This window comes from Homo sapiens, chromosome 20 (assembly GCF_000001405.40).
Source record: "Homo sapiens chromosome 20, GRCh38.p14 Primary Assembly".
NCBI classification, from domain to species: Eukaryota; Metazoa; Chordata; class Mammalia; order Primates; family Hominidae; genus Homo; species Homo sapiens.
The window spans coordinates 59875083-59887968 of NC_000020.11; the positions used below are offsets into that span (position 1 = coordinate 59875083).

Sequence of the window (12886 nt, forward strand, 5' to 3'; positions counted from 1 at the left end):
ATCCTAGTAGCATTGTTCCCATGTTATCAAAAGTCAAGTTACTAGCATTAATTAGCTTAACAATGAAGTTTTAACTACTATAATTATAAATACCCCTCAAAATTAGTCTTAAAATTGTATTTTCCCATAATTAGAGTTATAGAAAACTATTGAATATTCAAGTAAAGAAAAAACAAAGTTATACTGACATCTCGTTACTTCTATAGATGATGGACTGCCAGATAAAGATCTGGGAGATAAGTCAAGGCAATTATCTCGTATAGCATCTTTTAGTAGAGATGAGTTTTTCCATTGTTTTGATAGTTCCTTTTCTGTTTCAGCACAGAAGACTTTCTGTTGTTTCTTTGGTAGCTTTACCGTTTTCATTCTGGAATGGATATTCTCCTCCTAAATGTATCAATAACTTTCAAATTATACTCAAGTACAAATATTTACACTTGGACACATAAAACAAATTATATTCAAATATTTATTAAATGTTGTATATTACCACATACAGGCATAACAAGGACCTAGACATGAGTAGTGAAAGACTTTCTAATATACTAGAAGCCATAAGACAAATTCACAGGAGAATATAATACATTTACTATAATAAATATCTTAAGAGATACAAATAGCCTTCTTTGAGGGTTCAAAGATTATATCCAGTTTAGGAAAATTAGAAAGCATTCCTAAATTTCATAGTATTTGAGATACTAAGGAGTTTGTGAAAGAAGGTAGAAAGGGGAAGACATACTGCGAATAGAGAAGACTTCGCAAGAACAGAGGGAGTTGAGAGGCACAGGTCTTTTTTGGGAGTCACAGGTTATACTATCTGACCATTTCACAGTTCTGGGCATACACTGGAGAAGGGTAGAAAAAAGCTTGGAATGGCATTTTGATGCTCTGAATATCTGACAATAGAGATATTTTTAGGGTCTTCCTTTGAAGAGGGATAAGATGAGAGGTGGCTTGAGAAGGCATGTGACTATTTGTATGGTAAACTTCCTTTAAGAAGTGACAGAAGGCTGGGCACGGTGGCTCATGCCTGTAATCCCAGCACTTTGGGAGGCCGAGGCGGGCAGATCATGAGGTCAAGAGATCGAGACCATCCTGACCAACATGGTGAAACCCAGTCTCTACTAAAAATACAAAAATTAGCTGGGCGTGGTGGCGTGCGCCTGTAGTCCCAGCTACTAGGCAGGCTGAGGCAGGACAATCGTTTGAACACTGGAGGCGGAGGTTGCAGTGAACCAAGATGACACCACTGCACTCCAGCCTGGTGACAAAGCGAGGCTGTGTCTCAAAAAAAAAAAAAAAAAAAAAAAAAAAAAAAAAAAAAAAAAAGAAGAAGTGATAGAAAATGTAGACCTAAGTTAGGAAGTCTTTAAAGCATTTTGGGTAAGAGATAAGATTGCAAACAAGAAGAGATGGAAGTTTATGATGTCAAATCAGCACACTGTACTGTTCAGAAACCTATCTTCAGTGCCAGACTCTCTGGTTTCAAATCCTAGACCTACCACTTCCTAGTTGTGTGACCTTGAGCAAATTCCTTCTCTCTGAGCCTCAATTTTCTCAGTTGTAAAATGGGATGACACTAATAGTACTAATTACCTATAGTACTTATGAGATTTTTAGACATTAAATCTGTAAAGTGCTTAATATAGCAGTTGACACATTGTAAGCACTACATATATTTATATACTATACACATACACTATACTAAAATAGTAATATAAGTATATATATTTTTCCCATAATTGGAGTTATAGAAAACTATTGAATATTCAAGTAAACAAAAAATGAAATTATACTGACATCTCATTACTTCTATAGATGGTAGACTGCCAGACAAATAAATAAATATTTAACTTTGCTTTCAAAAACAGGTGACTGGGAATGTTTCTGGACATTATGAGACATAAGGAAGAAGTCAGGGATGGTGACAGGTGGGCCAGTGTGTGGGAAGAACCTCAGACACCAATATTTTGCTTTCACTCAACAGACACACAGCTTCTCCATGCTATACTTTATTAAAGCCTAATTTTAGAAGATTAAGTACTTCTCCCTTTCAAAGATACTATCATCAAGTTATAATTTCACTAGATTCAGACATCTGTTTTGTAAAAAAAATGCCAACTTATTACAAAATTTAGCATTATATTGCCTAAGGGCAAATTTCTAGAATTATTATTTAAGTTTTGTCATAAAAGAAGTTAACTCTTAAGAAGTAACAGGATAAATTTGACATTTTTTACAAAAATATATATTTAGTATTTTAAGAGGCTTTTAGAAATTAATCTGAACTGTATCTATTTACCTTTACTGGTATGTTCTCTTTAAATGAATGTGAAAATTCTTGTTCACACTCTGATTCTGAATTTGAGAGATCTTTATAGTTTTTTTTTGTTTTGGTTGCTTTTCGTGGAAGTCTGATTCTTCCTTCCGGAATTGTCTTGTCCATCTTTTTTGTGATATTTTTACTGGGTGTCTTTAGGAGAAAAATTCCTGAATATTAGATCAATATTTGAGGTACAAGAAATACAAGCAATTTGCTATAAAATTGGCACTGTGACAAGTTTTACATAAAATATTTGTAAGAATGATTCTTGATTAACATACTTTAAATTAATGGATTTTATCTTCCCATTCCAGTTATCATCTTTACCATCTCTGTATCCCTACCATTAAGTCCCTGAGAAGCCTGATATATACTATCTAACTGAAGTAAAAGATTTTAAAAATACCTAAAAGCACAGAATAAAATGGAGTCAAAGGCCAGTATGATTTAAAAAGAAACAGGAGAAAGTGTGCAAAAGAAGGAAGAGGTACATAAAACACATAACTGATAACAAGGATAAAATTATGAGATGATGAATTATTTTTATATGGCAAGAAAAAATAATTTTAAAGGGATGTTTGAACACAAACTTCTTGGCTTACCATTTTAGAGCTTGGCTGTCCCTTTTCCAAGGATGATCCTGTAATTCAGAAAAATAAGGTTAAATTTTCACAGTAAATAAGAATAGGCATTAAATTTATTAGAACATCATTTCAGCATATTTAAATTAAAATAATAAAAAGTAGTAAGTTTTTAAAGCATGTGTTAGCATTTAATAAGTGAACCTCCATGTGGCCTCAGGCCACCAGGATACCAGCCCTCCTGACACCGTAATCTTCTCACCTCTTCTGCTGAAGAATCTGGCCTCACAATACACTATTTTGGAAGCTTTTCCTTTCCCAGAACTTTTTAGTAGCCCAATTGTACCACATCTCTGATTGGCACCATTTTTAAACTCATTCAAAAATGTAATTTTCAAGAATTGATAACTTTTACTGTAAAGTGTTTCTTATGATATGAATTGCCAGTTTTCCTCCCTCTCCTTTATTTTATAGAACTTTTTAAACATATAAGAGAATATGTCAGCATAAGTTAAAAAGTTAACACCTATAAATCTACCACTCAATTTAAGAACCAGATTGTGTATAATGCTGAATCTACTTACGTATGCTCTCTTATACCATCCTCCGTGTCCCTTCTGCTAAAAGGTAATTACTGTCCTGAAATCTGCAGGTCTTAGTTACTTGCTTTAAAAACAAGTTTTATTACATAGATATAAATCTCTAAACAATATAATGAGATTTATAAAATATCATGTCCTGTATAATATCCTACGATTTATTTTCCATACATCACAATGTTAATAAGATTTACCCATATTATTGATAGCAGATTTAGTCTCACTTCTTTTTGCCTTTCAAGCATAATGTTATCTTTCCAAATAGTCTCTGAAACCTAAGAAATAAGATTATCCAAGCAAAGGAAGCAAAGCTGTTTTGGAAGAGAGGTCCTCTAATCTTGGCAATAAGTCAACTCAAACACATTAACTTGTAGTTATTCAATAATTTAAACAAAAGAATTCATACAGAATTTCAATTTCGTAAGTTAAATTTTATAAATATTTAGTGATGACACTAACCTCTAACATCTTCGTGAGATCTCTAATCTTCTACTTTATGTTATAAATGTTTTTATTTGTACATCTTCCCACTAGACTGTAAGCTCCCTGAGGGCATGTGAATCTTACTATATTTATCTTTGGCTGCTTCAAGGTTCAGACTATGATGCAATCTAGCCTCACCTTTCACCATTTTCCCATAAATATGATCTATGTACCAAATACTTCAATACTGCATTCCCTGAATATACTATGCTATTCCATACTTCTCTCCCTTTTATATATGATAATCCTGCTGCTTTACTTCCTCATGTATCTGGTGACCTCTCACCTAAATTTCAAGATTCAGCTTCATTTCTAAACACATGCCAAAATTCACTTCTATTTTTAGGTAACTACTGGTTATTTTTAATCCTGAAATAAAATGAAAGCTGATGCCCTTAAAATAAATATACATTTAGTTGAAAAGCACAGAGTTAAGTCTTCTTTTAAAAATGCAACATATAAAATCTTTGTTTTAGCAAACATTGAAATTGATGTTCAGCTATGAAAATGGTAATTCTCTCTAGCCAAAACTTATACCTGAAACTCTTACCAACTGCTTCAGGAGATTCACTATCACAGAGAAAGCAGAAGCCACTTTCTAGGAAAATACTTTGTGGAAAACTTAGACCCAAAAAAAAAAATCTGGAAGAAAATTGTTTTCCTTTTGATATATTTTTTGTGTCTATATAAATTCCTAAAAAAGGATGCGTGTTGGGTGCAGCAAGAAGATGGGATATTTAGTAAATATAAATAAATATATATATATATATATATATATATATATATATATATATACACACACACACACACAAACATATAAATATATTTATTTTATACACACACACACAAATGTAAATACATGTAAATATATATAGATTAGTGTCAAAGTTCAAGCCTTGGTCTTAAAGGTGTTGGGTTCATGAGTACTTGGTATATTATTCACAATAATTAGCTAAATAACTGGATAATACTGGGCCATGAGTAGACAAGTGACGAAAATCATGAGCCAAGGATAATGATAAGTCATAATTTGTGTCCCTAAGGTCCTATTAAAAATAAATATAACCGTATTACTAAAATAAAACAAAAAACATAAAAACTAGTGTTTTGTCCTATCCATGAAAGTATGTAGTAATGAACAGTCTAAATACAATAAGCTTATATAAAGCATTTTCAATAATTGAAATAAACTGCAAAATCATTTGCAACATTTATCCAAAAGATAATTTCTTACTTGATTTTCCACTTTTATGATTCTTCACATTTTTATTTCTGCTATAGTCTATTAGCTGTGGTTTTGATTTCGGTTCTCTTAGCCAGCTAATATCAGTCTTGCTGTCATCACATCTGTACTCTGTTTCAGTATCACTAAACAGATTTTTCTTTTGATGATTTGTTATAATCTATAAAAAAAAGTTTGAAATGCATGAAGAAATACTACATCTCATTATGTCATGCAAGGTAAGTTAAACCAAAACAACAACAACAACAAAAAAAAACAAAACCCAAAACAGGAAAACTAACTTGTCATTTCTTAACATCCTAATTTAGGATGGCATTAATAACCTATCCAAGAAAGTCACTTGGAAAACCAGATCAGATAATGATATTTGTATTTTGGTGTTGATGTTGTTAATTCAAAGTTAAATCAAAACAACTTATTTCCAGAGAGGTATAACCTAATAGTATACATATTAAAAAAACTAAACGTGGCATTTCTTTTATTAGATGATTACAAATAGCTGAAAGACCATAAGAAAATTCATAATAGGAAGGTGGATAGTTGCATAAATAAAACAATCAAAATGTTTTTGTTTTCTTGTTTTTGATAATCTTTAACATTAAAAATTAAGAGAAATACTACTTCTAATAGACATATTGAGATATTATAACTTACTTTTTTATCTTTTGTTTTGACAGAAGATTTAAGTTCATCATGATTCCTTGGACCTACCCTTAAACAAAAATATGTATTAATTAAAAAATACCCTTCATACTTGTTTTCTTAAGGTAATACACAATGGACAATTAGACCTGAGTTTTCAGTCTTAACTTTTTCACTAATTAGCTATATTATTCTGGCCAAGCCACTTATCCTCTCTGACCTCAGTTATAAAATAACTATATTGGATTAAAGAACTACTAAGTCTTTTTAGCTTTATGATCTAGGATATACAACTAATATTCAAAGTGATAATTTGCATATTAATTTAAAGAGTAAATGTTGAAGTAACAGAATCATAATGAGAGTAATAATGACTAGCATTTTTATTCACTCTTCTCATTTGTTAAAAAACTCTAAGACTGGGAGGAGATATTTAAGAGAAAAAAAAAGATCAGAATATTTTAATCTAATAAAAATACCTACAATCTAATTGACCTATCCGCACAAGCTTCTTTAGCTGTAGCTTGAAACTCTTGGATCTATATTGTAAATAAACAAAAAAAAAGAGGTGTCAGTGTCAAAATAAAAAAGATTAAAAGGAATAAACATAAAATCTAGTTTTGCTTCACAAAATCATAAGATTTGACATAAAATTAACTTTACTACAATATTTGTATTTGAAAAGAAAATACAATACACTAAAAATAGAATAGTTTTTTTTTTCATCAATAAGAAAGGTGATTTTCTTGGTAGTGAAGGCTTTCTACCCCACAATTGCTTGTTTTTCTCTACCTTATTCCTAAACAAAAATTTAAAAAAAAAAAAAGCCACCTAAATATACGTAGGCTGGTTATCCAAAATATTATTATATATTTCTTAAAAATTTTAAAGCATATGAGGATGCACATTAAAAACATTCTATGTAATAACTGCATGGTAAATGCAATGTAACTTCTGAGTAAATACAAAGTATCTTGGTATTTTAGCTTACTCCAAGTTTTATGATAGGGTCATCAGCTCCATTCAAATTAAAATTGTAAACATCATTCCTGTGAAAATGAAGAGCAATATTAGCTCCACTTAAATATGTGTAGTCTCTTCAAATATGAAGAAAATGAAAAATATTACAAAAAATACTTACACTGGGCATTCAGAAGTAACATTAACAAAGGTAGTCTTCAGTTTTCTGTAGCTTTTTTTCTGAACTTTTTCCTGAAAAGAGGGTTATAAAAAAATCATTAAATGGCTAACAGGTATATGAAAAAATGCTCAACAGCACTAATCAGAAATGCAAATCAAAAAATGAGATGTCATCTCACCTCAGTTAAAATGGCTTGTACCAAAAAGACAGGCAATAACAGATGCTAGTGAGGATGTGGGCCTCATACACTGTTGGTGGAACGCAAATGGTGGTACAACCACTGTGAATAACAGTGTGAAGTTTCCTCAAAAAACTAAAAATAGAACTACAGTATGATCCAGCAAGTTACTGAGTATATATCCAAAAGAAAGGAAATCAATATACCAAAGAGGTATCTGCACACCCATGGTTACTGCAGCATTATTGAAACCTAAGTGTCCACCAGTGGATAAATGCATAAAGAAAATGTAGTATGTGTATATACAACGAAATATTATTCAGCAATAAAAAAAGAATGAAATCCTGTCACTTGTAGCAACATGGATGTAACTGGAGGCCAAAGTAAAGTGAAATAAGCCAAACACAGAAAGACAAATACCGCATGTTTTCACTCATAAGTGGGAGCTAAAAAAGTGAATCTTATGGAGATAGAGCGTAGAACGGTGATTATCAGAGGCCAGGAAGAGTAGGAAGGAGTAGGGGGGGAACTAAGGGATTAAAAAATATATATATTACCAGTGAAATGTACACTTAAAAATGATAAAGATGGTAAATTTTATATGTATATTTTACCTCAACAAAAAAACTTGTACATTACTCTGTGTGGCAAACAAATAATGTGCATTTTTAAATATTTTTCTAGATGTGCTTCCACTAACATAAATCTTACATTTGTAACATTCTCCTTAAACTGAATAAAAATATATGCAAAATAAATTAAATCACCACCCATATATATAATTGCATTCCTAGGGCTGGGCACAGTGGCTTACACCTGTAACCCCAGCACTTTGGGAGGCCAAGGTGGGTGGGTCACCTGAGGTCAGGAGTTCAAGACCAGCCTGACCAATATGGTGAAACCCTGTCTCTACTGAAAATACAAAAATTAGCTGAGCATGGTGGCATGCACCTGTAGTCCCAGCTACTCAGGAGGCTGAGACAGGAGAATTGCTTGAACCAGGGAGGCGGAGGTTGCAGTGAGCCAAGATCACGCCACTGCACTCCAGCCTGGGGGACAGAGCAAGACTCTGTCTCCAAACAAACAAACAAACAAACAAACAAAGGTATCTACATTCCTATGTTCATTGCAGTAGTATTTATAATAATCAAAACATGGAAACAAAGTAAGTATTCACTGACATATGAATGGATAAAGAAATTGTGGTGCGTGTATATATATGAAGAAATACTATTCAGCCTTAAAAATAGTATATCCTGAAATTTGCTATAACATGGATGAACCAAGACAAGAGGACATTATGCTAAGTGAAAGAACCAGACAGAAAGAAAAATACTGCATGATCTCCCTTATATGTGGAATCTTAAAAAAAAAAAAATGTCAAATCTATAGACATAAGATAATAAAACAGTGGTCACCAGAGGATGGCAGGAGGGAAGGAAAAAGGGAGATCAAAGGATACAAAGTTGCAGATATGTAGGATGAATAAGTCTAGAGATATAATGCAGAACATGAGGACTATTAATAGTATTGTATAGTACACCAACTATATATAATACAGTATTGTATTATATAATAGTTTGTTGCACCAACCTATTATATTTGGGATATTTGCTAAGAGTAGATTTTATGCGTTCTTGCCACACACACACAAAGCTGAATACATTAATTTGATTATAGTAACCATTTCACTATGTATATCATGTTATACACCTTAAATACATACAATAAAAAAACACTTCTTTAAATATCGAAGACTTAAATAGTAAAAATACAATAGAAAATATTGTAAATCTAATAAAATCCTTTAACCTTAATACTTACTGACATTGTTGTACGTAAATAAATGACCTCCTTACTGGAATTCTATAAGCTAAATTTTGGTGATGCCATCACCACAAACCAAGCATGCTTTTCCTTTGTTTTGGACTCTCATTTGCTTTAAACTCTTAAATAGAAAACTTTGAGAGAGGCTAAGGTTTATGTAAAATCTCATGTAAAAGAGTCAAAAAGCTATCAATTAACTAGTATTGTTAGGAAAAAAATATGTGTTAAATTATTTATACAGCCCACAACTAAAAATATATTCAACCAGATCTCAAAGTAGTGAGGGCAAAAAAAGAAGTTAAATAACATTTAATAAATTAATTGTAATATACTGTATTAAAGAAATGTACTATGATTAAATATCACTAAATAATTGATTACTGATCAGAAATAATTAGTAAGTTAGAAATATTAAAACCTAAAATATTAATTTTATGTTGTGATTCATCTTCAATTTCTTTCCGTTATTTTATATAGACGTATTTGCATTATTTTAAAAAGGTTATCTCTCAATATATTACTCCTCTGATCATTTATCTGACTTATCCTTCCCAGTATGATTTTTACCAGTGCTTGCATACATATGTTCATTCACCTGTTGCATCGTTTGTGTGCTGTTACAGAATATGTAAAAATGAGCAAAGATGTTAAAGAAGGTAAGCAAAAGGCAGCAATGGTATTATAGAGAATACAAAGATGAGCACAAAAATATTACAGAAAATACAAAGATGATTCAAAATATAGTGAAAAAACAGAAGAAAAAACCCATGAGTAAAATAGCAAAAATAAATAAAAATTTAAAAGGTACCAAAACACTCTATTGTACAGATTCAGAATTCTTGCCAAATGGGTTTTTGAGTCAGGGCATCTTGGAAAGTTTTCATAAGGAAGGTACAAAGAGAAATATTTTAATAATCAGATAAGAGGGTGAGAGAGCCTACTGACTCAGTTTAAAGTTCATTGCAAAGGGAGAAGAAAAAGAGAATACTTAGGAAAGACTTACTTCAGGAAACCTCAAGTTATGTTTCAGTTAAACATGACATGCCTAGAAAATTAAGAAACAAGACAATCTTTTAAAGGGAAAAGTGAGCCAGTCTATGTTTCCATTTAATTCAATAAGCAACAGGGACCAAAAAAAGGTTTCTGAACAAGTAAGTGGCATGATTGGAGCTGTGTGCCTTAGAAAGAAAAAAAGCTGGTAGTGAATGTGATGTAAGGATTGCCACAGAGAAATGCTAGAGGCAAAGAAAATTGTTAACACATAAAACCTATTGTAACAATCCAGAGATTAGAAATCAGAACCGAAACTGGGCTAATAGGAGTTGGCCTCGACAGGGGAGAAAACATTCAAGAAGAACTTACAGAGGGTGAACTTCAAAACTTGAAATATTAAGTGGACACAGAGAGCAACTGTGAGGAATTAGAAAAAAGATAATTTATATTATAAGCCTGGATAAAGAGTAAAGGTTTTTTTTAAACAAAATTGGAACTTCAGTAGGATCTAATTGTTAGGAGAAATGGGATTGGCTATTAAAAAAATACACACACACACACACGCGCGCACGCGCGATAAGGATATACTGAATCATATACCAAAAAGTAAAAATATTATGCTCATATGTGTAAAAGAAGCTTTTTATTTGAAAAACAGAAGGTTGGAGGGCTATTTTGAGTACTTGCTATTAAACCTGTCAGTGGTTATCATTCATTTAGCAATATTCTGAAAACATCGTATCAAATTCCATTTTACCACTATGCTATTTTAGTGTTTATGGTCAAATATTGAGTTTGACTATAGATTTGGTGAAGTTAAGTAAATAACACCTACCTTACTGAGTTGTACAACAGGTTTGTTTGAAAAACCACTGTAAAAAAAGATTTTGTCAAAATTGAAAAAGCAAATCAGTATCAATATCATAAAAGTCATTTTAAGATAAACCATGTTTGTCACTAAATTTATATTCAATGTTAAAAATAACCAAAATGTAACAGTAATAGTCTGATAGTTTTGCTACTTCACTCACAGTAAACAGCACTTATAATAGAGCATTCGAAGCTGAATCATTAATGCAGCAGAAAGTGTGAATTTAAAATGAATGATTCCACCATAAGAATCATTTATTCATGACCTATAGTAAGGCCAGAATTAACGTAAACTTGAATTAACCACCTAATAGACTATAAATAGACATTTTGTAATAAACAATCTTTGGAAAGACTGCAAAGAATGTACTATTTACTACAAAAAAACTCATATCTGGTTAAATTCTGTATTTCATTAAGCAATGTATTTAAATATATTTATTCATTATTAGATTCAGTAAGTACAATGTCTACATCCTAAAGATTTTTAAAATGGTATGTTGTATTGATGTGTTTTTTGATCCTATATAAAATGTAACTAGACAATAGAATGACAAATTTCAAATTTAGTTCCCTTCTTGTGTAATTTAAACACCTACTATTTATAAAAGTATTAAGTAACCATGTGTTTTCTACTGAAAAGTTACATTATCTGAACCTATGTTTAAAATTAACCTTTTTAAAATTGTGTAATATAGTTGTATCTGTCAGAAAAATATTCATGTCTGAAATTTAAGAACATACCTGTTAATCAAAGACTCCTTTAATTTTCTTGTAGACTTGATGTCATCTTTTGTTTTGTATCTTTTATTGATTTGGCTTATCAAGGATTCTGCTACATTGGTAAATTCTTTCCCTTTTGACTTTTCTCTCTGAAAAAAATTGTAAGTTACTTTTAAACTCTACCAGTTAATCTTTAAAGGAAAAATAAAGGCTGAAAAAAACTTTTAAGATAAATCTGGTTCTATTTATACCTGCGGAGAGAAATAAAGAGAGTCAACTGTTTAGTAAGTTTGAGCTTTGTTAGGCATTAAAATAAGATAATTTTTTTTATTATACTTTAAGTTCTAGGGTACATGTGTACAACATGCAGATTTGTTACACATGTATACATGTGCCATGCCAGTGTGCTGCACCCATTAACTCGTCATTTACATTAGGTATATCTCCTAATGCTATCCCTCCCCCCTTCCCCTACCCCACGACAGGCCCCAGTGTGTGATGTTCCCCTTCCTGTGTCCAAGTGTTCTCATCGTTCAATTCCCACCTACAAGTGAGAACATGCGGTGTTTTTTTGTCCTTGCAATAGTTTGCTGAGAATGATGGTTTCCAGCTTCATCCATGTCCCTACAAAGGACATGAACTCATCCTTTTTTATGACTGCATAGTATTCCATGGTGTATTTGTGCCACATTTTCTTAATCCAGTCTATCATTGAGGGACATTTGGGTGGGTTCCAAGTCTTTGCTATCGTGAATAGTGCCACAATGAACATACGTGTGCATGTGTCTTTATAGCAGCATTATTTATAATCCTTTGGGTATATACCCAGTAATGGGATGGCTGGGTCAAATGGTATTTCTAGTTCTAGATCCTTGAGGAATTGCCACACTGTCTTCCACAATGGTTGAACGAGTTTACAGTCCCACCAACAGTGTAAAAGTGTTCCTATTTCTCCACATCCTCTCCAGCACCTGTTAACAGAACTGTACAGAGTGCTTTGCAGACATTTTAAAAAATGTTTCTGCCCATAAGAATAAAAAACTGAAAAAAGGAGAAACCATTTCTTTGAAAAGATCAATAAAATTGATAAACCTTTAGTCAGGTTAACTAAGAAGAAAGAGAAAAAAAAAACAGAAATTACTATCAGAAATGAAAGAAGGGCCATCACTGCTGATCACATAGACATAAAAATAAGTCAATATTATGAATTCCATGCCCGCAAATGTGATAGGCTAGATGAAATGGACCAATTCCTTGAAAGACACAATCTACCAAAACCTATG

General features: G+C 31.8%; 1 protein-coding gene across 12 annotated transcripts in view; it reads right to left on the reverse strand.

Moving 5' to 3' along the window:
* Positions 1-12886, reverse strand: part of SYCP2 (synaptonemal complex protein 2) — a 70067-nt gene that overhangs the window by 11512 nt on the left and 45669 nt on the right. For 10 of the 12 annotated variants that reach the window (XM_011528490.4, NM_014258.4, XM_017027587.2 and 7 more), the window contains 10 exons: positions 11625-11752; positions 10846-10882; positions 7013-7083; positions 6863-6920; positions 6355-6410; positions 5884-5941; positions 5221-5389; positions 2926-2963; positions 2303-2473; positions 189-387 (listed from right to left, as the gene is read on the reverse strand). In XM_011528490.4, the coding sequence (XP_011526792.1) occupies positions 189-387; positions 2303-2473; positions 2926-2963; positions 5221-5389; positions 5884-5941; positions 6355-6410; positions 6863-6920; positions 7013-7083; positions 10846-10882; positions 11625-11752 (985 nt within the window). The remainder of the gene's footprint in view (positions 1-188; positions 388-2302; positions 2474-2925; positions 2964-5220; positions 5390-5883; positions 5942-6354; positions 6411-6862; positions 6921-7012; positions 7084-10845; positions 10883-11624; positions 11753-12886) is intronic. The other 2 variants (XM_047439828.1, XM_047439827.1) reach the window with 1 other exon arrangement.